The sequence below is a fragment of the Homo sapiens genome, chromosome 3 (assembly GCF_000001405.40).
Source record: "Homo sapiens chromosome 3, GRCh38.p14 Primary Assembly".
In the NCBI taxonomy this organism is placed as follows: domain Eukaryota; kingdom Metazoa; phylum Chordata; class Mammalia; order Primates; family Hominidae; genus Homo; species Homo sapiens.
The window spans coordinates 13,480,143-13,506,416 of NC_000003.12; the positions used below are offsets into that span (position 1 = coordinate 13,480,143).

General features: G+C 53.7%; 1 protein-coding gene across 3 annotated transcripts, besides 4 other annotated features; it reads left to right on the plus strand.

Annotated features, from left to right (window-relative positions):
• Positions 40 to 529: a silencer, noted in NCBI's record as "silent region_14086". NCBI's record gives its function as "represses an Ori minimal core promoter by ATAC-STARR-seq in GM12878 lymphoblastoid cells {active_cell/tissue: GM12878}" and the evidence as "EXISTENCE:reporter gene assay evidence [ECO:0000049][PMID:35858748]".
• Positions 40 to 885: a biological region, named in NCBI's record as "H3K4me1 hESC enhancer GRCh37_chr3:13521871-13522527".
• HDAC11 (histone deacetylase 11) lies at positions 164 to 26,274 on the plus strand. 3 transcript variants are annotated; one of them, NM_001136041.3, is made up of 10 exons: positions 164 to 304; positions 1,104 to 1,252; positions 3,322 to 3,422; positions 16,663 to 16,710; positions 18,371 to 18,413; positions 20,571 to 20,647; positions 21,729 to 21,791; positions 22,742 to 22,838; positions 23,952 to 24,130; positions 24,326 to 26,274. In NM_001136041.3, the coding sequence occupies exons 2-10, from the start codon at positions 1,186 to 1,188 to the stop codon at positions 24,539 to 24,541; spliced, it is 891 nt and encodes a 296-aa protein (NP_001129513.1). In that variant the 5' UTR covers positions 164 to 304; positions 1,104 to 1,185; the 3' UTR covers positions 24,542 to 26,274. The 3 variants fall into 3 exon arrangements, with proteins under 3 accessions (NP_001129513.1, NP_079103.2, NP_001317565.1); NM_024827.4 differs by having other exon boundaries at positions 164 to 207; positions 16,594 to 16,710; NM_001330636.2 differs by lacking the exons at positions 16,663 to 16,710; positions 18,371 to 18,413; positions 20,571 to 20,647 and having other exon boundaries at positions 164 to 207.
• Positions 229 to 885: an enhancer, noted in NCBI's record as "H3K4me1 hESC enhancer chr3:13521871-13522527 (GRCh37/hg19 assembly coordinates)". NCBI's record gives its function as "activates a minimal SCP1, AML or CMV promoter by ChIP-STARR-seq in naive H9 embryonic stem cells {active_cell/tissue: H9 hESC(naive)}" and the evidence as "EXISTENCE:reporter gene assay evidence [ECO:0000049][PMID:30033119]".
• Positions 3,227 to 3,521: a silencer, noted in NCBI's record as "tiled region #12997; HepG2 Repressive non-DNase unmatched - State 7:EnhWF, and K562 Repressive DNase matched - State 8:EnhW". NCBI's record gives its function as "represses a minimal TATA promoter and a strong SV40 promoter by Sharpr-MPRA in HepG2 and K562 cells {active_cell/tissue: HepG2 | K562}" and the evidence as "EXISTENCE:reporter gene assay evidence [ECO:0000049][PMID:27701403]".

Here is a 26,274-nt window from a genome sequence, read left to right on the forward strand (position 1 = left end):
GGGCTTGATGGGCGTTGGGGGTGGCCTTCCTGCGGGCAGGCTCTCTGTGTCGCAACACTGGCGGGGCGGGCCAAATCGGCCAGAGCTCTGCCCCCAGAGGACGCGGCTAAGCCCGGGGGCGTGTCCTGGGCTGGCCCCACCCGCGCCCCGCCCCGCCCCGCCCGGTCGCGGAGCTGCGGCCAGCTTTGGGAGGGCCGGCCCCGGGATGTGAGTGCCGCGGGGCGAGGGCGGGGGTGGGCTCCCAGGGGTCCCGGTGGGCGGGCGCGCTAGGGCGAGGGCGGGGACGGCCGGGCGGGCGCGCCAGGTAAGGGCCCAGATTTGCTGGTGAGGGGTGAGGGACGCTCGGGACGGGTGTTTCCAGGCCCTCCCGGCGCGCCAGGCCAGCCCCGCGCCCCTGCTCGGTGGCCCGAGGGACGCGCGCCGGCCGCGGGCCTGGGCCCGGACCCGGAGCGGTCGGGCGATGTGCGCGGGTCTGACGTCTGCGCTGCCCAGCCCCCTGGCTACGCGGACGCCCCCACGGAGGCAGCCACTGGGGCGGATTTCTGTCTCTGGGTGACGACTGCCAGGGTGTGATGGGAAGGGTTAGCAGCGCAGCGGGGTCAGGGGATCCCCGCCCCCCGCCCTGGCTCAGGTTGGGTCCCGACTTGGGTTTCTGAGTGCTTACTGTGCTCAGCTCCTCAGTTGCATTCTCTGAGTCCTCACAACAGCCACACATTTTGCAGCCGAAGCCTTGTGCCACACAGCTGTGGGGGCATTTATTACGGTGCAGAGGTGATGCGCGGAGGCCTTGCAGCCAGACACACCTGAGTGCACGCCTGCTTCTCCACAGACCTGCACTGTGACCTTGGGCACACCTGGTCTGCTCTCTGAGCCTCTGGTGCGATTGTGGTGCCTACCCCCAGGGCTGCTGTGAGGACTGGATTGGAATTGGGTTCCGGGAAAGGCAGCCAGTTTAAGCAGCTGTTGTTGAGGGGCCCTTGTCTGCGGCTGAGGGGCTAGTGGTGCTGGGCAATGGCTGGTGGGTCAGTCCAGGCGGGCTCGGGAGGGAGCTGCTTTCTGCCGAGGCTGCCCCAGCTGTGCGTCTGTCTTTTTCCACACGGTAGGCTACACACAACCCAGCTGTACCAGCATGTGCCAGAGACACGCTGGCCAATCGTGTACTCGCCGCGCTACAACATCACCTTCATGGGCCTGGAGAAGCTGCATCCCTTTGATGCCGGAAAATGGGGCAAAGTGATCAATTTCCTAAAAGGTATGGAAGGTCCCCCTTGGACTCTCATCTGCTTCCTCCAACCCACCTGTCCTCTCCGTCCTCATCCCCAACATAAGCCTCAGGCTCTCTCCCATCTTCAGTTTCAGCCCTCGGATGGCCTTCCACCCATGCTTCCGCCCAAAATGATTTTTCCAACACAGACTCCTAATCACGATATGATGTCCCTGACTCAGACTCTCCCTGGCTCCCCATCCTGTGGGCCTAAGTCCTGCCTCTGCCCAAGAGGCCTAGTGGAAAGGTAGCTGATTACTGATGGGCACAGGGAAGGTGAAGCTTGGAGGAGTCCATTTCCTAAGGTTCAGAGAGTCAGGAGGTAGAGCACCTCCACCGCACCTCTCTTGATTACAGATGGGGGAAATTGTGTCCTAGAATGATTAGGAAACATGTGCACCCAATTCCAGTCCAGTCCTCACAGCAGCCCTCGGGGTAGGCACCACAATCGCAGCAGAGGCTCAGGAGCTCACTGTAACCTCCGCCTTTCAGGTTCAAACAATTTTTCTGCCTCAGCCTCCCAAGTAGCTGGAATTACAGGCGTGAGCCACCACACCCGGCCCTGATTTCTTAATATGGCACTCATTATAAGATTGTAAAAGCCCACCTGTAGACCGAACTGGGCACACTGGCTGCCTGCTTGTGACCTCTTTCCAGGGAAGGACACAGCTCCCATTAGTGGCTGAAGTAACACAGTTACAAGAGGCGGAGTTGGGTTTGGAACTCAGAGCTCCAGGCGCCCTACCTTTAGGGCTCATCCCCTTGAGCAAAATGATGCTTCGAAGAGCATATCGTTTTAACTGTGGTTTGTAATCAAGGGGCCTGATTTAGGTGGGAAATTCACTTAAACTTGTTTTAAAAGGAAACATTATGTCATCAAAATGGGAAAAGGCAGTTTCACTTGCCATAAATAGGTCATGGTAAAAAAGTAAATGCAATGAAAACAACAGTATAATTCAATCCAGGCTGGTTACTATTGCCTGCAGGCTGTGAGACTGATTAGTGGTTTGAACGGAAGATGAGCAAAGCACAGGCAGGTGTTGCGAGGCCATGCCACACTGAGCCTCCTGTAATATCATCAGAAGGTGGAGGGAGGCCGGGCGCAGTGGCTCGTGCCTGTAATCCCAGCACTCTGGGAGGCCAAGGCTAGGAGAACACTTGAGGCCGGGAGTTTGAGACCAGCTTGGGCAACATAGCAAGATCCTGTCTCTACAAAATAAAAATAAAAAACTTAGCTGGGGGTGGTGGTATGCACCTATAGTCCTAGCTACTTGAAATGCTGAGGCAGGAGGATCACTTGAGCCCAGAAGTTCGAGGGTGCAGTGAGCTATGGTTGTGCCACTGCACTCCAGCCTGGGCTACAGAGCAAGACCTTGTCTTGCATTTATTTATTTGTTTATTTATTTATTGAGACAGGGTCTCACTCCCATCACCCAGGCTAGAGTGCAGTGGCGGAATCAAGGCTCATTGCCACCTCAACCTCCCTGGCTTAAGTGATCCTCCCACCTCATGTTTTTGATATTTTGTAGAGATGCGGTCTCACTATGTTGTCTAGGCTGGTCTTGAACTCCTGGGCTCAAGCAATCCACCTGCCTCAACCTCCCAAAGTGCTGGGATTACAGGCGTGAACCACCACACCTGGCCAAGACCCTGTCTCTTTAAATGAATTAAAAAAAAAAAAAGGGCGGGGGGAAGGTGGAGGGGGAATTCCTAAGAAGAGTTTTTCTCACTCTGAGGGTCAACATCCCTGACCCTTGTGCCACCTGCTCCTGAAGGTTGTCTAGCACACCTGAGCTCTCCTTGTGACTATCAGTGGCTTGGGAAACATGGGGATTGCTGTGTGTACGATGTTCATTGCTCCCTGGCCAGAGGGACTGGCCACTGTCCACAGTGGCTGGGGAGGCTACCCCTTCTCAGAAGGCCCACAAGCCAGCAGTGCCTACCTACCCCTGGGGCAGGGGCTGCCACAGGCCAAGTCTGCAGCCTGTGGGAGGGTCTGGGGCTGGCCCTGGCCTTGAGGTCAGTGGGGAAGCAGGATGCTCCCTCTGTGGTTTCAGAAGAGAAGCTTCTGTCTGACAGCATGCTGGTGGAGGCGCGGGAGGCCTCGGAGGAGGACCTGCTGGTGGTGCACACGAGGCGCTATCTTAATGAGCTCAAGGTACAGGATGTCGGGCCTGGGGGGCTGCGGGCCTGGGGCAGGGGGCTGCTGGCCAGGAGTGGCCAGAGGCAGGAGGTGACTCAGCCTGGGGAAGCCAAGTCTCACAGGGCACCCATTCATGTCCCTAGTGTTGGAGGAACATGGGAGTCTGTGGTCCCCAAGAGAAGGAGAGAGGTCATAAAAAGGCAGACCTCAGTTTGGGCCAGGCCACTCTGAGGGTGGTGTCCTCCCCTTCTCCAGGGCGTATGAAAGCCTTCATAGAATTTTAGGCTTCTACATTATGACTTTCAAGCTGTGCTCTGTCGACACGCCTCCGAGACCCCAGCCCCTGTCCTCCAACCATACATAGCTCTTTCACTTTGGTCTATTTTGTTTGTTTGTTTGTTCATTTTTTTGTTGGTTTTTGTTCTTGAAATGGAGTCTCACTCTGTCGCCCAGGCTGGAGTGCAGTGATGTGATCTCGGCTCATTGCAACCTCCGCCTTCCGGGTTCAAGCAATTATCCTGTCTCACCCTCCTGAGTGAGTAGCTAGGATTACAGGCGCGTGCCACCATGCCTGGCTAATTTTTTTTGTATTTTAGTAGAGATGTGGTTTCGCCGTGTTGGCCAAGCTGGTCTCGAACTCCTGAACTCAGGTCATCTGCCCACCTCGGCCTCCCAAAGTGCTGGGGTTACAGGCGTGAGCCACCGCACCCACCCTATTTTTTATATTGGGCTGAAGTTTAAGACTCTGGTCTAAGTACTTCTGCTGAAGTTTTGTTGAAAATTGTTGGTCTAAAAACTAATTTGAAACCCTCAGGGCTCAGCAGAGAAGAGAAACAAGTGGGAGGGCCGGTGGTAGAGTCTGAGGTGAACTCCTGCCCCTTCCCAAGGGGCGGCTCCTCAGCTCCACTGTGGGCCCGGCATGGCCAGAGCACCTGGTCTTCAAAGAGAAGCCAGGAATCCAGATTATTAAGTGACATTTCCTGATTTTTTTTTTGAGACTGAGTCTCGCTCTTGTTGAGCAGGCTGAAGTGCAGTGGCACGATCTCAGCTCACTGTAACCTCCGCCTCCCGGGTTCAAACAATTTTTCTGCCTCAGCCTCCGAAGTAGCTGGAATTATAGGGGTGAGCCACCACACCCGGCCCTGATTTCTTAATGTGGCACTCATTATAAGATTGTAAAAGCCCACCTGTAGACCAAACTGGGCACACTGGCTGCCTGCTTGTGACCTCTTTCCAGAGAAGGACACAGCTCCTATTAGTGGCTGAAGTTCTGAGGGCTGAGGCATTCAGTTCAGTGCTCTTTGTAGGAACAGAGGGGAGGTTGGGGCGGGGGCTTGCATTGGAATCTGGTACTGCCAGCCTGCCTTGGTGGGGGTGGGGTCAGGGATGCCTCAGGTTATCTGCCCCAAGAGTGTGGGAGCCCTGACCCCCAGGCTCCCTGGCTGAGCTCACCTTAGACTCAGAGCCACAGTGGATGCCTGAGGCCAGCAGGCCCCTCTGCTCCACAGGTGGAAAAGCCTAGGTCCAGAAAGAGGCTGTGCTCAAGGTCACCTGGGAAGTTGGCCGGGCCTTGGGGAGACCCCTGGCAGGTCATCCAGTCCAGTCTTCTAGGTTCCCAGTCAGGGCTGCTGCCTCCCTGCTCCCCAACCGCAGCCTGAGGTGTGAGAATTCTAGATAGGGCCACGACAGTGTGAGCACATGAAAGATTACCAGGAAGAGGTTGAAACCTGGCTCCTGGGAGAGAGAGGGGTGTGAGGCCTTGGCAGGAAGCCCAGTGCTTGGCTGCCCTGGTTTCCTGGGGCCCAGGCATGCGTGGTCACAGTCCACAGCCTAGGGCTGGGCCAGGAGGACATGCCTGCCAGAGTCCCGAGGGTGAGGGGAAGGAAGGGACAGGAGGCGCTCAGCTGGGGCAGGGAGAAACCAAAACAGAATGGTGTGATTGAACCAGGCTGGGGGTGGGGGGCCTAGGTTCCAGGGCCCCACCCATTTGAGGGGCCTTCAGGGGAACTGTGTTGGGCAGGCTGCATGCCTGGCCTTGGTCCCCCAAAAGCCTGAAAGCAGCTTACTATGTGATATATAATAATACAAAATAGCTGGGTGTAGTGGCATGCACTTGTAGTCCTAGCTACTTGGGAGCCTGAGGCAGGAGACCTTGAGCCCAGGAGTTTGAAGCTGTAGTGAGCTATGATTGCACCACTGCACTCCAGCTGGTATGACAGAGTGAGACTGTCTCTTAAAAAAAATAATAAAAGTATTAACAGGTAGAGTCCCAAGTAGAAAACTGAGGTTGAGGGTAGGAGGAGAATTCAGGTATGTCCACTGAAAAAGTTAACCAAGATGGTGATCCAGCTGCATATTTGGCTTGGAGCTCCCTGGCAGTCAGAACAAAAGGAGAAACATGATGGTTTCTACGGCACCTATTAAGATGAAGAAGTAGGCCGGGTGCAGTGACTCATGCCTGTAATCCCAGCACTTTGGGAGAACGAGGCGGGCGGATCACTTGAGGTCGGGAGTTTGAGATCAGCCTGGCCAACATGGAGAAACCCTGTCTCTACTAAAACTACAAAATTAGCCAGGCATGGTAGTGCATGCCTGTAATCCCAGCTACCTGGGAGGCTGAGGCAGGAAAATCACTTGAACCTGGGAGGTAGAGGTTGCAGTGAGCCGAGATTGCGCCATTGCACTCCAGCTTGGGCAATAAGAGTGAAACTCCATCTCAAAAAAAAAAAAAAAAAAAAAAGAAAAAGATGAAGAAGTAGTCAGTCATTCAACACATCTGTATTGAATGCCAACTGTACAGAGAGAATAAGACAGCAGGGCTCTCTGCCACCATGGATTTGCATTTGAGTCGTGGAAGATTAAAATTAAGGAAGCAACCACCCAAGAGCATTTTAGAGAGCACCAAGGGCTATGAAGAAAGTGAAAAATAGAGGGTAATTGGATGGTCAGGGAGGGCCTCACAGAGGAGGTGATGTTTGAGTTGAGACTAAACAAAGGAGCAGGTGATACTCATGTAGAGGTGTTTTTTTTTTTTTTTTTTTTTTTTGGAGAAGGAATCTCGCTTTGTTGCCCAGGCTCGAGTACAGTGGTGCGATCTCAGCTCACAGCAACCTCTGCCTCTTGGTTCAAGCGATTCTCCTGCCTCAGCCTCCCAAGTAGCTAGGATTACAGGCACCTGCCACCATGCCCGGCTAATTTTTGTATTTTTAGTAGAGACGGAGTTTTCACCATGTTGGCCAGGCTGGTCTCGAACTCCTGACCTCAAGCAATCCATCTGCCTCGGCCTCCCAAAGTGCTGGGATTACAGGCATGAGCCACTGCTCCTGGCCCTCATGTATAGCTTTGAAGGAAGAATGTTTCAGAATCCCAGGCCTGGAGGGTGGAGGGGACTTGATCTTCCAAAGGGGAGAAGAATGCTTGGGAGGCCGGATGGAAGGGAATAAAACATTGTGGCTCGTACACGGTGCAGTTAGGGAGGCCAGAGCCCCAGGCCACACAAGGTCTTGCAGGCCGTGGGAGGAGTGTATATGTTGTTCCAGGGACCTTGGACAGTCACGAGGGGGTTTTCAGCAGGAGGGTGATATGGTGTGACATGCCCTTGCTGCCCAGGTGGGACCCAAGCCCGTTTCAGACATCATCTGGCACCTAAGGCTGCAGCTCAGGAACATCTCCCACCTCCCTGCAGATGTCTGCAATGTTTCTTTTCTCCTTCCTCTGCTGTGGGCGCCCAGAGAGTGCCCTAGAGAGTCCTTCAGGTTTCTCAGGCTGCTTTTCCCTGGTCATTCTGTGTGTGCTGTGTAACATCCACCGTCTCCCCTGCCTCATCCCATTCTACCCCCAACCCCTGCCTGGGGCTCATGCCTGACTCTGCACTGGTGTGGCCTTTGATACTTAATAAACAGGGCACTGAAGGAGAAGCAGGAGCTGGACGTTTGCAAGATGTCAATTCAGGGAAACCCATGTTTATCAAGCTCCTGCTGTGTGCAAGGTCCAGGGTTGGCCCCTCTGAGGGTAGCTGTTGAGCTCCCCAGTGCCCCAGCACTGGGCTCTTGCCTTTGGTTGATTCTCGGGTGACAGTTTGCCATGGAGTGTCGGTTAGTGCTGGGCAGCATCTGACATCCTGCCCCTGTGCACTCTGCACTGGACAGTGCTCAGAACACGTGGATCCAGCAAGTGCTCAGAGGGCACCACTCTGTGATCTAGGTGCTGCAGGGATGGGATGGAGCAAAAGACCACATCCCTTTCCTGCTGGAGCTGGCATTTAGGTGGGAGAGTCAGACAATAAATGTAATAATTAAGTAATGAGATAATATGTTAGATGGTGCTGAGTGTCGTGAAGAAAGGAAGGGACAGCAGAAAAGGGGTGGGGAGAGCTGGTGAGAGGATGGCAGTTTTAAATCAGGAGTCAGGAAAGGGCTTACTACCTGTGATCACAGGTGACATGTGGGAAGGGAGTGAGGGAGTGGGTGATGTGGTCATCTGGGGAAGGGCATTCCAAGCAGAAGAAACAGCAAGTGCAAAGATCCCAGGGCAGAACTATCTGTCATGAGTTCCAGTATAGTGTGGAGAGAAGGAGACACAGACCATAGCTCCATGGAGCACCTGGAGGGACCCTGGAGAGTCTCTAGGGGAGTGAGCTCCTCTTGGTCTCCAACTCTCTCTTCTCTTCCCTGAGGGGCTCCTCTCTCCTTTAAAAAAAAATTTTTTTTAATTGTGGTAAAATTTACATAACAAAATTCGCCATTAACCACTTTAAACTGTACAGTTCAGTGGCCTTTAGTCCATTCACAAAGTGCTGCAACCATCATCTCTAGTTCCAAACATTTTCATCACTCCAAAAGGAAACCCTGTGTCCTTTAAACACTTGCTCCCCATTTATCCCCCCAAGTCCCCTTGGTAATCACTCACCTGCATTCTCTCTCTATGGATTTGCCTATCCTGGATATTTCATATAAATGGAATCATACAATATGTGACCTTTTGTGTCTGGCTTATCTCACTAAGCACAGCGTTTTCAACATTCATCTGTGTTGTGTTGTAGCATGTATCAGTACTTCATTCCTTTTCACAGCAGAATGATATTCCATTGTAAAACACTACATTTTTTTTATCCATTCATTAGTTTATAGGCCTTTTGGCTATTGTGAGTAGTGTTGCTGTGGACATGTGCATACGAGTATTTATTAGAATACCTGTTTTCAGTTATTTGGGGTATACACCTAGGAGTAGAATTACTGGGTCACATGGTAATTCTGTTTAATTTTCTGAAGAACCATCAAGGTGATCTCCACGGGGGCTGCACCATTTCCACCAGTAATGTACCAGGGTCCCAATTTCTCTACATCCTTTTCAATGCTTGTTATTTTCTGGTGTTTTTTTTTTTCCCCCCCAGTGTGGCCATCTTACTGGATGTGAAGTGGTATCTCATGGTTTTAATTTGCATTTACCTAATGGCTAATTAACACTGAGGATCTTTTCATGTGCTGATTGGCTATTTGTATATGTCATTTGGAGAAATGTTTATTCAAGTCCTTTGTCCATTTTTAAAATTGGCTTGTCTTTTTGTTGAGTTGTAGGGTTCTTTATATATTCTGGATATTATTTAATTTGTAAATAACTCCTCCCATTCTGTGGGTTGTCTTTTTTTTGATAGTGTCCTTTGATGCACAAAAATTTTAGTTTTGCTGAAGTCCAATTTATCTTTTTTTCCTTTTCTTTAGGTGTCATATCTAAGAATCCATTGCCAAACCCAAGGTCATGAAGGTTTACCGCATGTGTTTTCTTCTAAGAGTTTTATAGTTTTCACTTATATTTAGGCCTTGATAAATTTTGAGTTAATTTTTGTATATGTGTGAGGCAAGTCCAACTTCATTGTTTTGTACTCAGATATCCAGTTATCCCAGCACCATTTGTTAGGCTGTTTTTCCCCTGTTGAATGGTCTTGGTACCTTTGTAGAAAATCAACTGGCCATAGATGTATGGATTTATTTCTAGACTCTCAATTCTATTCATTTTTTTGGTTTGTTTGTTTAAGAAAGGGTTGCATTCTTTCGACAGCCCAGGCTGGAGTACGGTGGCTCCATCTTGGCTCACTGCAACCTCCGTCTCCTGGGTTCAAGCAATTCTCCCATCTCAGCCTCCCAGGTAGCTGGGACTACAGGCGTGTGCTACCATGCCTGGCTAATTTTTGTGTTTCTTGGTAGAGATGGGGTTTCACCATGTTGGCTAGGCTGGTCCTGAATTCGTGACCTCAAGTGATTTGCTCACCTCGGCCTCTCAAAGTACTGGGATTACAGGCATGTGTGAGCCACTGCGCCCAGCCAATTCTATTCATTTGATCTATATGTCAATACCACACTATTTTGGTACTGTTACTGTGGCTTACTGTGGTTATTGTGGCTTTGGAGCAAATTTTGAAATTCCAGATTGTGAGGCCTCCAACTTTGTTCTTTTTTTTTTTTTGAGACGCAGTCTCGCTTTGTCGCCTATGCTGGAGTGCAATGGCGCGATCTCGGCTCACTGCAACCTCCGCCTTCTGGTTTCAGGTGATTCTCCTGCCTCAGCCTCCCGAGTAGCTGGGATTACAGGCGCCCGGCACCACGCCTAGCTAATTTTTCTATTTTTAGTAGAGATGAGGTCTCACCATGTTGGTCAGGTTGGTCTCAAACTCCTGACCTCATGATCTGCCTGCCTCTGCCTCCCAAAGTGCTGGGATTACAGGCATGAGCCACCGTGCCCAGCCAACTTTGTTCTTTTTTAAGATCGTTTTGGCTGTTTGAGGTCCCTTGAGATTCCATGTGAATTATAGCATCAACTTCCATTTTTTGCAAAAAAGGCCATTGGGATTTTGACAGGAATTGCATTGAGTAAATTGCTTTGGGGAGTTTTGCCATCTTAACAATATTCGGTCTTTCAATCCATGAACATGGGATGTCTTTCCGTTTATTTATGTCTTTAATTTCTTTCAGCAATGTTTTGTAGCTTTCAATGGACAAATCTTGCACCTCTTGGTTAAATCTATTCCCATGCATTTTATTCTTTTCGATGTTATTATAAATGAAATTGTTTGAATTTCCTTTTAAGATTGTTCATTGCTGGTATATACAATAATCAGTTGTATAGAAATACAACTGATTTTTTTGTGTTGATCTTGTATCCTACAACTTTGCTGAATTTGTTTCTTAGCATTTTTTTCTTTTTTTTTTTTTTTTTTTTTTTTTTAGACAGAGTCTCTCTCTGTTACCAGGCTGGAGTGCAGTGGCATGATCTCGGCTCACTGCAACCTCCGCCTCCCAGGTTCAAGCGATTTTTCTGCCTCAGCCTCCCAAGTAGCTGGGACTGCAGGTGCATGCCACCATGCCCAGCTAATTTTTGTATTTTTAGTAGAGATGGGGTTTCGCCATGTTGGCCAGTGTGGTCTCGATCTCTTGACCTCGTGATCTGCCCACCTCGGCCTCTCAAAGTGCTGGTATTACAGGCATGAGCCACTGCGCCTGGCCTGTTTCTTAGCTTTAATAGTTGTGTGTGTGTGTGTGTGTGTGTGTGTGTGTGTGTGTGTGTGTGTATTCTTTAGGATCCTCTATATATAACATCATACCGTCTGTGAAGAGAGGTAGCTTCCTTTCCAATTTGGATGGCTTTTATTTATTTTTCTTGCCTAATTCCTCTGATTGGAACTTCCAGTACTATGTTAAATAGCAGTAGTGGAGCAGGCATCTTTGTCTTGTTCCTGATCTTAGACAGAGGGCTTTCAATATTTTACCATTGAGTATAATGTCAGCTGTGGGGTTAAATTTTTTAACGCCTTTTATCATGTTGAGGGAGTTCCCTTCTGTTCCTAGTTTGTTGAGTGATTTTATCACAAAAGGCTATTGAATTTTGTCAAAGGCTTTTTGTGCATCAACTGAGAGATCGTGTTTTCCCCTTCTCTGCTTTTGCTCCCCTTCTACTGGTAGAAAGGACCCACCTAAAGCAAGCAGTGGGCGCCCTAGAGGGGTTACAGCCTAGCTCTTCCCTGAGAGCAGTTCTTGGTTTGAACCTGAGGGCAGCGGGTCCGCCTGAGGAAACCAGGTGTCTGGAAGGTGAAGGCTTGTGGAGCTGAGTAGATGGGGCAGTAGGTCCCAGAGATATGGCCAGCCCCAGTCATGTCCTGCTCTCTGTGGAGTCCCACAGAGGCTGACGAGGTATGGGGGCCCTGATAGCTGGCTACATGCAGGCCATGCCCTTTGGCGGGTGGTGGCGTCAGTCTGGGGCAGACCTCCCATGCTCACATAGTGTGCTCATTCACCCAGCACTGCCTTAGGTTGGGCTCCCTAGAATGGTGGCTCTTAAACCCCAGCAAGTATCTGAAACACTGGAGGGCTTGTTCCAGCAGATGGCTGGGCCCCTCCCAGAGTTTCTGATCCATGTTGTCTTGGGTAGAGACTGGGAATCTGCATTTCTAATACATTCTCAAGTGTTGTGGATGCTGCTGGTCTGAGAACCACATCCCTAGAAGCAGAGTCTGAGATGGTGCAGGCGATTTCAGATGAACCCTGCAAGAGGCACAGGCAGTGGGGAGCGGGCAGAGTGAGCAGCTGAGCACAGATGTGGATTTGGAAGTGTGGCCTCAGCCTGATTCCATGGAGATCTCTGGGGCGTGAATGTCACCACAGGGTTGCCCTGCCCAGAAGCATGTGGCCTGGCTGTTACAGGCCCTTGTCAGTCATGGCTCTCCTGGGATGATGCAGGTGAGGTGGCTTCTGTCAGGAGAAGGGCTCTGGTGCACCAGCCAGAAAAGGGGATCAACGGCATGCATGGCCAGCACCTACTGTGTGCCAGGCATGGCCTCAGCACTGTCTGCACAGCAGTGAGCAGACGCGTGCTGTCCTCCTGGAGCTGGCATCCTTTTGAGGGAGATAGATGCTAATCGGGACAGTCTGTAGCCTCAGGGAGAGAAGTGCTATCTGGGAAGATGAAGCCAAGGTGTGGGCTCCAGGGGGCCCCAGGTGGGAGTATTTTATTTTATTTTTTTGAGACAGAGTTTCACTCTGTCACCCAGGCTGGAGTGCAGTGGTGCGATCTTGGCTCACTGCAACCTCCACCCCTTGGGTTGAAGAGATTCTCCTCCCTCGCCTCCTGAGTAGCTGGGATTACAGGCACCTGCCACCATGCCCGGCTAATTTTTGTGTTTTTAATGGACACCAGATTTCACCATGTTGGCCAGGCTGGTCGTGAACTCTGGACCTCAAGTAATCCGCCTACCTCAGCCTCCCAAAGTTCTGGGATTACAGATGTAAGCCACCAAGCCTGGCTGGGTGTGGGGATTTTAGATTAGATGAGGAGGACAGGCCTCTCTGACTGGTTTCCACCTCTAAGTCCTCATCCAAAGCCTTGTTTTATAGATGAGACAGAGGCACAGAGAAGTGAATTCTAAATTCACATAGCCAGTGGCAGAACCCAGACTTGGACCAGTTTGGGGAACTTCTGAGCCTGTCCACCCCAGTCCTAGCCTCACCCACAGTGCCCTTGCCCAGGGCGAGACTATCAGGGAGCCTGACCTGCTGGATCTGGGCAGTCCCACCGTGGCATGCTGCATGTCCCAGAGAAGGTATCTGTCAGCAGTGCAGCACCCCCCACCTGCCCCACCCACAGCTCCCTCGGGGGCTATCCCTGGAAGTGTTGGTCAGAAAGTGAATCTCCAGATGTCACCTGGTGGTGCCCTGAGCTCCTCCTACCTGCCACCTCCTCTGACCACATAGAGCCTGCTCTAGCCCAGGCCCTCTTCCCTCTCCTCCCCTCACCCAGGGACCCGCCACTAGTCCGCCCCACCCACTCTGTTTATTTCTCACCTTGGCCACTGATGGGTGGTTTCTCCTAGAGCGGTGCTGCCCTGTGGAACCTTCTGCAATGATGGAAATGCTCAGACCTGCTCTGTGCAGTCCAGTCGCCACTGGCCGCATGTGGCTCTTGAAATATGGAGAGTGTAACTGAGGAACCAAACTTGAATTTTTAAAATTTTGATGAATTTACAATCACTCGTAAGTAGCCACCTGTGGCTGGCAGCCACTGGATTGGATGGTGCTGGTCTAGGGTGTTGGCAACCACATCACTGCCTTGTGCAGAAACCACTGCTGCACCAGGAGAAGGCCCAAGTGCCAGCCTCCTCTTCACTGCCCGAAGCCTGCTGCTCCGCTGAGGGGCTCGTCTCGCCAACGTTGGCACAGCAAACACACATACTTTCTCCTGTGGGGGCTGGTCCTGCTGGCCAAGTCCCGTGCATGCTCCTGGGTGGCTGCACCTGGCCCCTGCACCAGGTCAGGTCCAATCTGTGGAGGATACCAAGGAACCTCTTTGAGGTTCCCAAGTGTGTCCCATGCCACTGCAGTTTTGCAGAAGGTTAGTGTGTGTGACTTAAAAGGCAAAGAGGGCAGGCAGATCTTCTGACATCTGGGGGGAGCAAAGTTAGAATGGAATATTTGCTGCAGAACTTCTCAGAGCCTTTAGCATGCTAGGATGTGCTGCAAATCTCCAGGAGGCAGGCGGCATAAGCCATGCTTCCCAAACGACTTGCCGGTGGAAGCCTCCTTGAGGAGTGCTGTGCGAGACCCGTGGCTGTGGAGCACACGAGAGAATGCCTTTCTCGTGGTTTGTGTCCATGCTGGGCTCTCGGCTGCATTGTCTTCCAGTCTGTGTCCCCTGCTGGCTTCCCAGGGAGGGAGGGAGGCTGTGACTCCATGTGCTCCTTCAGCGGCTCGTTTGTTTGCTCATTCGTTCATGGAAAACCATGGTTCCATGCCAGCCACACGCGGGGCCTCTGCCGGGCAGTGGGATGAGTGTGGTGAACAAGAGGAGCTGATGACCTCAGGCAGGGACCTTCCTTTCTCTGGGTCTGTCCCGCAACATACACACACGCACACACGCACACGGACATACCTGTGCACACATGTATACACAAGACACATACACACACATACATACACTCATGGGTGTGTCCTGCAGCTGTCTGGCTGTGCTGGTCCCAGCTCTTACACTCCCACCCCTTCCCAGGCCCTGTGATGCCTCCATGTTACCGCCAGAGGGCCTGGGCTTGTGGAAGTGGTGCCCCGTGGGCACCTCTCCTTCCCGACCATGAGTGGGACCCTGCTCACTGCCTTCTCTACCAGAGTGAGGGAGTGATGCCAGCTTCCCCCGCCTTCAGCCGCCCTTGCCGGCCTGGGCTGGTGGCCATGGGCATTCCCCAGCAGTGTGGGCAGGCTGGGTGCCTGGCACCCCCAGGACTATGACAGAAGCCTCCCCTGGTGGCCAGGGCCTAAGCCATGAGGCCCCTGCTGGGGCCTGACTTAGGGTGTGTCCTGCCTTTTGTCCGGCCCTGAGTGGCCTGGCTACAGCACCTCTTGGCCCTCTGAGGTTCGTCACCCCTCTGCCATCACACCCATCCCTGGCCACCCTCTCCCTGCCTGCTGCCTGCTGTCTGTCATTGAACATGCTCGTGTTTCTCCCATCCTAAAACTCCTCCTCCTGGTTGGTGAACGCAATGGCCACACTTCCCACTTTCCTCTCATGGAATGTCTGCAGCTTGGTGCCTCCCTCCACCTGCTCCTTCCAGCCACCCTCTCTCCACCTGGCCTCCTGAGCACTGCACCTTAGGTCTTTCCACATCTCACCCTGTCCCAGGGAAGCCCTTGATCGTCCCCAGGGGTTCTCTCTCTGGGCCTTGCCCTTCAGCATGGGAAGCCTGCAGTCCCAACCCAGCCCTTCACCTCCCACTCTCCCACCCCTGTTCTGAGCTCCAGTCTCACTTAAACCTCAGCTGTCTCACCTGGCTGCCCCAGGGGCTGACTTGGCCCATAGAGAGCAGAACCTAGTGCCGCCTCTGTACCCTGCTTCAGGTTCACCTCCAAGTGCCATTACCCTCACAGGCCCCAGACCCGACACCTGGGCCCTCTACCCCTTGTCCCTGCATGCTGCCTGCTAATACCTGCTCCTCTTACCACCCCAGACCCTTCTTATCTCATGCTTCCTCTCTAGGGCTGCTACTTCTCTATTCCTGTTCCCCTAATTGGTTCTCCTTGCTGCAGCTAGTGCAGCTTGGGACAGCACCATCTATGGTTCCCTACTGCCCTGACGACAATGTGTGAGCCTGTGCTAGGAGACCAGGCCCTGTGTGATAAGCTCAGCCTGCCCTGTTCCAGCTGCACCCACCTTCTCTAGATCATGGACTCACTTCTCTGCCCACAGATACCTTTTTCCCTTGACCTCTGCATCTGGATAACTCCTATTCACTCTTCACCTCCTGCAAATGCCATCACCCCCAGAAAGCCTCTCTAATAACCCCCACCCAGTTCTCCTCTTCATCACCACACTCATCACACTGCAAATAAGTGTCTGCAAGTGTCCTGGCATGAGAATGGGCCCTCCAGTGCCCACCTGGGGCACCTAGCAGGCACTTAGTAAATATTTACAAAGTGAGTGGCTCTGCCTCGCGTGGGTGGGGAGCAGGGATGCGTTTTCAGCCAGGAGATGGCTTGGGGTTTGGGTTCAGCTGGGCAGCCAGTGCCATGGATATTTACCTGGTGCACTTGGAGGTCACAGGGCACACTCTGTCCTGATCTTAGTGCAGATACCTTTCAGGTACCGTAGACCCCCCCAGCCTCAGCAGCTGGAGATGAGGGCAGTGCATCCCTTTTGCCAGGAAGGTCCGATTCCCAATGGACAAAGAGGCAATGCAGTGCGAGGGAGCCAGAGGCCAGGGCTCCCGTCCCAGCTCTGTCAGTGACTCATTGTGTGGCCTTGGGAAGATCCTCGCTGCCTAGGCCTCAGTGTCCCCTTCTGTACAGTGGGTGGTCTAGACTAATTTGTTATCCCAAAGCAGTCCTAGACCTGCACTGCTGACTTGGAGCCCTCTGCACCTCCTGTTCTGGGCACAAGAGGGCAGCCAAGGGCCTCAGAACGCTGAGGAACCCTGGCCAACTAGCTTTAAGAAATGCATTGTGTAAACTGCTCTTTACTGAGCCCAGAGCTTGCCAGGAGCCTGGTAGGGTTGTGGCTCTGGCTCTCATTTCTACCAAAGGAAGTGTGCTTGACCAGGGAGTTCATCCAAGGGCACCTGGAAACTGTCCTCAAGGCATTTCCCGGGGAACCAATTTCTCACGGGTTGCCTCAGGGTGGGGAAGCGGAGGCCAACAGCCCCTGTCTTTTTCCGCAGTGGTCCTTTGCTGTTGCTACCATCACAGAAATCCCCCCCGTTATCTTCCTCCCCAACTTCCTTGTGCAGAGGAAGGTGCTGAGGCCCCTTCGGACCCAGACAGGAGGAACCATAATGGTAGGTGGGGTGGGGGGGCATGGCTGGGCTGGGGGCCCCCACACCCCAGGGTCCTTCTCACCTCCTTTGCCCTGGAATGCCCTCCTCCCACTTAGTAGTTGAACAGAATCCTAAATATTCCTCAAGGCTCGGCAACAATGACCCTTTCTCCAAAAGCCTTTTTTCCCCATCTTGGGACATCAGAATTCTCTTCTCATCGTTCCTTCTCCTATGACCTCCTATTTGTTACCGTAATTGCTAGTATATAATATACCTCTCCACCCACCAAAGCGGATATCCTAGCACTATGGCTTTAAGGCACACCCCCTCACCAGTTTTTTCTTTCTTTCTTTCTTTTTTTTTTTTGAGTAGAGTCTCGTTCTGTCGCCCAGGCTGGAGTGCAGTGGTGTGATCTTGGCTCACTGCAACCTCTGCCTCCTAGGTTCAAGCGATTCTCTTGCCTCAGGCTCCTGAGTAGCTGGGACTACAGGTGTTCGCCACCATGCCTGGCTAATTTTTGTATTTTTAGTAGAGACGGGGTTTTACCATGTTGGCCAGGCTGGTCTTGAACTCCTGACCTCAAATGATCCACTCACCTTGGCCTCCCAAAGTACTGGGATTACAGGCTTTGAGCCACCATGCCCAGCCCTAATGCACCCAAAATTAAGATGGAGAACTGATCCTCCATGACTTCAGTGATGAATAAGCCTCCACGTCTCCCCCACTGCGGGTGTGGCAACAAAGAATCCCCACAGCAAAATTAGGTTTCACATTGTGTGTGTGGTTTTTTTAAAAAAATGTGCCACACACTGCCTAGTTATTTGGAGATAGAGGAATGTTTCACATGCAAATGTATGAGGATCTAACCCAGCCCTGGATCACTACCTACTGATCCCCTACAGTTCTGTTATGTTTGTAAATTTGTACTTTTTCCTTTAGCTTAGTAGAATATTACTGCCCATCCCCAAAACTATGATTTCCTGGAAGATTTCAGTATTTAGTCTACTATATTTCTTTTTTTGCTTTTTTTTTTTTTTTTTTTGAGACAGAGTCTCACTCTGTCCTCCAGGCTGGAGTGCAGGGGTGTGACCTTGGCTCACTGCAACCTCTGCCTCCTGGGTTCAAGTGATTCTCCTGCCTCAGCCTCCCGAGTAGCTGGGATTACAGGCACACGCCACTCTGCCTGGCTAATTTTTGTATTTTTAGTAGAGACGGGGTTTCACCATGTTGGCGAGGCTGGTCTTGAACTCCTGACCTCAAGTGATCCGCCTGCCTCGGCCTCCCAAAGTGCTGGGATTACAGGCGTGAGCCACTGCGCCTGGCCCAGTCTACTGTATTTCTGTGAGCAAAACTTTGCCTATTTTCCCTTTGAAAGCCATATCAAAATTATTGTCAGCTCATATGTGATGGATGATAAGTACTTTTATTTTTTCCAGTTTCCTTGCACAATTTCAAAGGTGCTTATGCACTGTACATCTCATATGCCAGCCAAGCTGGCACTTACTTCCTGGACTGTTGCTTGGGGTAGGGAGTTCCTTCTATACCCCTGCCTTGTAGCTCAGCTCATCCTTCCCCCAGAGCTGGCTAGAAGCAGTGTTTATGGAATGAGTGCATGAATCAGTGAATGAATGACTGGTGGATCGGCTGCCTGCGCCCCCTCACCCTCTGCTTGTCTCCAAAGGCGGGGAAGCTGGCTGTGGAGCGAGGCTGGGCCATCAACGTGGGTGAGTGCTGGGAATGTCCTCGGGAATGTCCAGCCCGGCTTGGTGGAACTGGCCTGAAAGGGGGCTGGGGGAGGGCGGGAGGATCCTGGAGGTGGCAGCTGTGAATTCAGAAGCTCTGGTTTTCCCAAGTCACCCTAGCCTCCTTGTGGAGTGGCCTGGAGGTTGATGTGTAGCCTCCTAGGTACCTGGGAGAGACTGACCAGTGCCTCCATCTGACGTGGGATCCTTGTCTAAGGAGGTCCCCGGGTGGTTCCCCAGCCCCCTCTTTGCGTACTTCCGGTGGCAGGGAGCTTCCTCCCTTCCAGAGAGCGTGTGCCATCCTTGGGCAGCTCAGCATGGTCTGAAGCCTGCCTTGTGTCTTCCCTGAAGGACTCCACCTGTGTCCTGGGGCCCAGGACAGCCCACAGAGGCTTGGTCATGTTGGGTTGGGTGGGCACATCCTGGGTCAATACCACCACCTTCTCAAGGGTCCAGAGGGCCCGTGCTCCCCAGCCCCCTTGAATCTCCCACAAGATTGGCTCATGGGAGGGCTGCACGGGAGTCTCCCTTGTCCCTGTCATTGTCCCTCCTGGAGGCACAGCACTTGACAATTTACAAAGCTCTTTTTCACCAGGCTCTTTTTTTCTTTTTCGAGACGTAGTTTCACTCTTGTTGCCCAGGCTGGAGTGCAATGGCGCGATCTCGGCTCACCGCAACCTCCGCCTCCCAGGTTCAAACAATTCTCCTGCCTCAGCCTCCTGAGTAGCTGAGATTACAGGCATGCACCACCATGCCCGGCTAATTTTGTATTTTTAGTAGAGACAGGGTTTCTCCATGTTGGTCAGGCTGGGTCTTGAACTCCCGACCTCAGGTGATACGCCCACCTCGCTCGGCCTCCCAAAGTGCTAAGATTACAGACATGAGCCACCACGCCCGGCCTTCACCCAGACTCTTATTTGAGCTGGGCATAATTGTCAGGCCTGTCTCACTGATGAGGAAATGGCCATGGAAAGATGCGTACTGGATCGTGTAGAGCCCTAAAGCAGGGTCCCCCAGCCTTTGGCTCTGAACTCTGCAGGGGAGAGTCCACCTTGGGCCACTGCACAGTTGAGGGGAGCCCCACTCTGCAGGGGCTGGGTCTCTTCCATCTTGGTATTACCAGGTGCCTAGCATTCAGTCTGGCATAGTAATGATGTTATGGTACTCTGCTGCACAAACCCGGGAGTGATCTGTGCCCTGCGTGTCTACAGCAGGGTTCCGAGGAGGGCCTGGATGGCCCTCCCCATGGCAGGTGTTACTGCCTGGTAGAGGTTAAGAGCCTGGATCCTGATCCACCCTGGGTTTGATCCTGGTTCTGCCATTACCTGGCTGTGTGACCCTGGGCAAGTTGCTGACCTCCTCTGTGGGTCAGTCTCCTCATCTGTAAAATGGGGATGGTGATGCTAATGCCCCTCCTCGGGCTGGAGGGAGTCTTCAGCAAGCTCAGTTGCTCAGTCAGGTGTTCACTGTGGCTGTCTTCTCATCATTAGGAGCCAACAGTAGCCTCCTGGGGGGTGGGAGAGGCAAGTTCCTGGTATCCATGGGGCCAGCTGCACACTGTCTGACGGAGCAGTTGTTGGGCTCAATTTCAGAGGGCCTCTGCAATTCAGGCCATCCCAGGGGCTGCAGGGGAGGGGGTATCTATGGGCCCTAGGGCTCTGAGGCTGTGTCTCAGGGTTGAGGGGTGATGGATCCCGGGCTCTAGGGCCCTCCTCGTGGCTGTAGGCAGTCATGACCAGCAGAGGGTGCCCTTCCTGACCACCCGCTTTGGCCACTGGCAGAATCCGTGTGGCCCCCATACCACCACTCCTTCCTGGAGTGGGGAGCCACATGGAGCCAGGCCCAGCTTGGTGGGGACAAGGAGCAGCTTTCTGCTTCTGGAATGATGAGCTATCTGTTGCTTAGGGGTGTGAGTGGCACTGAGGACTTGCTGGGGACACCCTGAAGATGTGGCTGCCTTCTGGCCTGGGGATGGTGACATGCCCCAGCACTCAGCTTAGTTTGCCAACCCAGAGTCCGAGGCACAGGTTCCTGAGAGCTGAGCAGGGAGGATGCTGGGGGAGGTGAAGGGATGGAGGAGCTCCTGGACTGAGCCTGGGAGCCTGGCTCTGAGCAGCACCGCTCTCTGCCCTTCCGCAGGGGGTGGCTTCCACCACTGCTCCAGCGACCGTGGCGGGGGCTTCTGTGCCTATGCGGACATCACGCTCGCCATCAAGGTGTGTCTATGAGCAAGTGGGGTCTCGCCTCCAAGAGCCCTCCTGGAATCCTCCCCATAGCTCCAAATTAACTGTTCTCACCCTGAATTATAGACAAGGGGCCTATGCTGGAGCAGGGAGGGGGCTTGTTTGGGTTGCTCAGCCAGGCTGGAACTGAATCCAGATCTGACACTTGCTCCTCTTCCATGTTGCTTAGAAGGGTTGCCTGTGGTGGAAGGGAGTTATTCCAGCCTCCCACAGAGCCAGGGGACTAGAGAGGGTCAGGATCTGCTGTATAGCCACATATTAAGTTGTAGGAAGAAGGGCATGGCTGGCAAAGGGAGTAGGGAGTGGAAAGAATGATGGTGCTGATAGCACCTGGCAGTTCTGCATGCTCCAACCCGCGCTGTGCTCCAGGACTTACTCCCTGAATCCTCGCAGACAGACAGGGGCCCACAGAGGTGAGGGCATGCAAATAGCAGGGGCAGAATTGGCGCTGGCCTCTGGTCTGTGGGGCCCCACAACTCCCCTGCCACTCTGTGCCTGGCCTTGTGCTGGGCATCAGGAACTGACTGACCTGTTCCTATGTGTGCCTGCTCTCATGGGGCACATAGACTGATGGGGGGAAGCAGGCCATTAGGAGAAGGGGGAAGCACAGGAGACCTTCCTGGGGAGGAGGGAATGAAGGCTTCCTGGAAGAGGGGGCATTTAGGACTTGGCCTTGTAGGATAAGGCAGAGGTTGGGGACTGAAGTCCCAGGGCTGTGGGGATTCTCTCCTTAACCCCTACACATTTCCTAGGGAATCTGGGAAAATCCAGGGCCTGAGTGACCCACTTACCTCCTGACCTATGACCCTTCAGGGCACAGGACATGCCCCCTCCTCCAGGGAGCCTTCCCTGACCACCTCCTGCATGCACACATGGAGCCCCACAGCTGGAGCTGCACAGCTCTCCCTGGCAAGTGACATCTTTGCTGGGTGGCCTGATTACCCACAAGCATTAGGCCCCCCTCCCCGCCCCTCGCCAGCCAGCTGGGAGTTGCTGTAGGGCTGGGTCCTCTGTCCGCCCCAGATCCTCATGTCTACCCTCTCCTCCCTGGCAGTTTCTGTTTGAGCGTGTGGAGGGCATCTCCAGGGCTACCATCATTGATCTTGATGCCCATCAGGTGAGTGCCCTGCAGGGGCTGGACTCTTAGGGGACCTGCCACCCCCAGTTCCAGAATCTTCCCGGGGCAGGAGAGTCTCCCTCCTCATGTCCCCACGGCTCTCACGGCTTCTGTCTTCTGTCTCTCGGGCTACAAATGCAGGGTCTGTCTTTGTCACTCTGTCCAGGACAGCGGGTCCTCCTCATTGCTCCCGAGGGTCCTCCCTCCCTCCTCCTGACTGCCCCCACATGAGGCTCTTCCTGAAGCCCACTCTGATGGGACTGCTCTCGTGTGCAGAGCTCTGCTGTGGGTCCCCATTGCTTATGAATAATTTGGGGCACTGCCCCCTGCCCAGAGCTGCTGAGCACTGGCCACCTGCCCCTCAGGCGGATGCCCACACACATGGCTTGGCTCGGGCACCTGGGGTCACCATTTAAGAACTCGGCGCCTAGGGAGTAAAGTGTCAAAGCAGAGGGTTACCTCCTCCTCAGGACCCCTAATGAGGCCAGTGCCTCTGGTCAGACAGGGAGGGGACCCAGTGGGCTCCGGAAGGCACCCCCCTGCACCATTACTGCTGTGGCTTTGTGCTAGTTGGGGCCCTGCCTTGGGTTCTTGCGACCCCGAACTCCTGAGCCAGGTCACATGTGGACAGTCCTTTACAGTTTGCTTTTCACATCCCTGATCCCAACCAGTCCCACCACAGACTTGAGAGGGTGGCAGAGCGGGATTTCTTCCTCTGATAGGGAACCTAAGAGCACTGGGCTTGCTCAAGCCCATGCTAGAAGGTGTCGGGGCCTGGTTTTAAGGTTGAATCCCAGCTCTGCCCCTTAACAGTCATGAGACCTGCTGCCCCCGAGAGCAGGCCGTGCTGCCCTGGCAAATGGGGAGTTTCCTGAGGGGTGGGTGGGTGGCAGAGCCCCAGCCTTGCCTAGGGCACCTACCCGAGAGCGGCTACTGTGACCTCCCCACAGGGCAATGGGCATGAGCGAGACTTCATGGACGACAAGCGTGTGTACATCATGGATGTCTACAACCGCCACATCTACCCAGGGGACCGCTTTGCCAAGCGTAAGCTGCTGCCCCTACCCTCATCTTGGGTGTGTCCTTGTGGATGAGGCTCTCTCCTGAGTGTCTCCTGTCTGCTAGGCCCTGCAGAAGCCACTGCAGTGGTTCATAGCATCCCTGTGAGGTGATCCTTTCCATTTTACAGATGAGGAAACCGAGACCTGGAGAAGTCACTCGACCCACCCAAGATCACATAACCCTTACAATAAACATGCATTTGTCTGGCAAAAAACAGGAAAGAATGAAAGAAAAAAAAGAAAAATAGGATAAATTTGAAAATACGAAATAAGAAATAAATTCACATAGGCTGGGCGCGGTGGCTCACGCCTGTAATCCCAGCACTTTGGGAGGCTGAAGTGGGCGGATCACCTGAGGTCGGGAGTTTGAGACCAGCCTGACCAACATGGAGAAACCCCATCTCTACTAAAAATACAAAATTAGCTGGATGTGGTGGCGCATGCCTGTAATCCCAGCTACTCGGGAGGCTGAGACAGGAGAATTGCTTGAACCTGGGAGGCGGAGGTTTCGGTAAGCCGAGATCGCGCCATTGCACTCCAGCTTGGGCAACAAGAGCGAAACTCCATCTCGAAAGAAAGAAAGAAATTCATGTATAATCGTTAAAATGAAAATGCATTAAACTCATCAATCAAAAGGCAGAGACTCTCAGATGAGATTTAAAAACAGGGCTGCCACCTTTGCAGGTAGGGGACATTTTTGCACCAGTCACGATGAGTCTGGTGTGGATAAGTCAGCAGCTAGTATGGCCCAAGGAACCAATTTCTGAACAGAACCTCACATGTGCTGAGCCTGGGCTTAAGGGCAGGGCAGGGTGTCCATGTGTGTAGGCAAGACCCAGAGGAGGCAGTGAAATCTGACATTGCCGACACAGATCTCCACACCCCCAGGGCAGTGTCTCAGCTTCAGTGCCCCTTCTCTCCTTTGAGTCCCCCTTTTTGCAGCTCTTGGTGCTCTTTTCACCTTAGTTTTGGGTGGAATGAGGCTGAGCAGTGCTGAATCTGACAGACCAGTTTCCAGTCTTGCCTGGTGTCCACAGTCTTGTCCTGAGCCTCAGTTTCCCTTCTCTATAAATTGAGGCCATCCATGTCTCTCTCCCAGAGGCCATCAGGCGGAAGGTGGAGCTGGAGTGGGGCACAGAGGATGATGAGTACCTGGATAAGGTGGAGAGGAACATCAAGAAATCCCTCCAGGAGCACCTGCCCGACGTGGTGGTATACAATGCAGGCACCGACATCCTCGAGGGGGACCGCCTTGGGGGGCTGTCCATCAGCCCAGCGGTACGTCCTGACCCTTGGGGCCACGGGAGGGTCTGCTCTATGGACTCAGCAGCAGCAGGAAAGGTGGGCGGCCTCATGTCAGGGAGGAGATGGACTGAAGCAACAGCAGTTTGGAGCAGGGCTAGCCCTGCAGCAGGACTTCCTGACACCATGGGGGTCTGGCCTGCCTGAGTCACCCTCCTCTTCCCCTAACAGGGCATCGTGAAGCGGGATGAGCTGGTGTTCCGGATGGTCCGTGGCCGCCGGGTGCCCATCCTTATGGTGACCTCAGGCGGGTACCAGAAGCGCACAGCCCGCATCATTGCTGACTCCATACTTAATCTGTTTGGCCTGGGGCTCATTGGGCCTGAGTCACCCAGCGTCTCCGCACAGAACTCAGACACACCGCTGCTTCCCCCTGCAGTGCCCTGACCCTTGCTGCCCTGCCTGTCACGTGGCCCTGCCTATCCGCCCCTTAGTGCTTTTTGTTTTCTAACCTCATGGGGTGGTGGAGGCAGCCTTCAGTGAGCATGGAGGGGCAGGGCCATCCCTGGCTGGGGCCTGGAGCTGGCCCTTCCTCTACTTTTCCCTGCTGGAAGCCAGAAGGGCTTGAGGCCTCTATGGGTGGGGGCAGAAGGCAGAGCCTGTGTCCCAGGGGGACCCACACGAAGTCACCAGCCCATAGGTCCAGGGAGGCAGGCAGTTAACTGAGAATTGGAGAGGACAGGCTAGGTCCCAGGCACAGCGAGGGCCCTGGGCTTGGGGTGTTCTGGTTTTGAGAACGGCAGACCCAGGTCGGAGTGAGGAAGCTTCCACCTCCATCCTGACTAGGCCTGCATCCTAACTGGGCCTCCCTCCCTCCCCTTGGTCATGGGATTTGCTGCCCTCTTTGCCCCAGAGCTGAAGAGCTATAGGCACTGGTGTGGATGGCCCAGGAGGTGCTGGAGCTAGGTCTCCAGGTGGGCCTGGTTCCCAGGCAGCAGGTGGGAACCCTGGGCCTGGATGTGAGGGGCGGTCAGGAAGGGGTACAGGTGGGTTCCCTCATCTGGAGTTCCCCCTCAATAAAGCAAGGTCTGGACCTGCCTTCCCAGGCCCTTCTGTGGGGGTGAAGGTGGGGAAGGCCTGCGGCGCCCAGATCACTGCCTTAGCAGTAGTCTTGCCTGTTCAGTGCAAGGGGCAGGTTTTGGGGGGAGGAATTCTTAGCGCAAGGACGGGCCTCAGCCCTGTCGCCTCCAGGGGGCCGCTGACCCAGGTGGGGAGAGGGCAGAAGAAGGGTGGGGGACGTGGGCAGGCCAGGCTCACAGGTGGAAATCAGGGATGCAGGGTGGTGCCCAAGCCAGGTCCTGCAGGAACCCAGGCCCAGGGAGGGACCCAGACACTGGTGAGGCGGGGCAGGGGTTCCTGGAGAGAGGGCAGCGAGGATCTCTATCCTGGCCTGGGGATTATGAACATAGGTAGCCGGGGCAGGGCCCTGGGTGGGACTGTGGCCTCCACTGGCCTCACCAAAGTGCCTGGGCCCCAATCCTTCTCCATGCCCAGGGGCCCCAGGTGGGCCAGACCTCTGGCCTGTTCCTCAGCCCTACTCATGGGGACATTCAGGGACCTCCAGGAAGTGGGCGGGGGAGCATCCACCCCTGCTAGCCGGCAGCTGTGGCCCTGATCAAATCAGGGGCTGGGGAGGGAAAGTGGGTCCATTGAGGTGGCCCTGCTCCATCAGCCCCCTACGGGACTTGTGTTCATTACAGTGAGGGGGTGCTCCCACTGTCTCCCGGCCTCCCTAATGCTCCCTCTGCTGCAGGGAGAAGGGTTCCAAGATCACAAAATGTCAACAATGCTGGCCTCCTGGACCAGACCCCGAGGCTCTAACAATGCACTCTGAGATCCCTACCCTTGCCGTTGGTCTCTGTCGCTGACTCGAGGCACCTAACATCCATTCACACCCAACACAGGCCAGCGACTTCTGGGGCTCAGCCACAGACATGGTTTGTCACTGTTGAGCTTCTGTTCCTAGAGAATCCTAGAGGCTTGATTGGCCCAGGCTGCTGTGTGTGCTGGAGGCAAAGAATCCCTACCTCCTAGGGGTGAAAGGAAATGAAAATGGAAAGTTCTTGTAGCGCAAGGCCTGACATGGGTAGCTGCTCAATAAATGCTAGTGTGTTATTTCA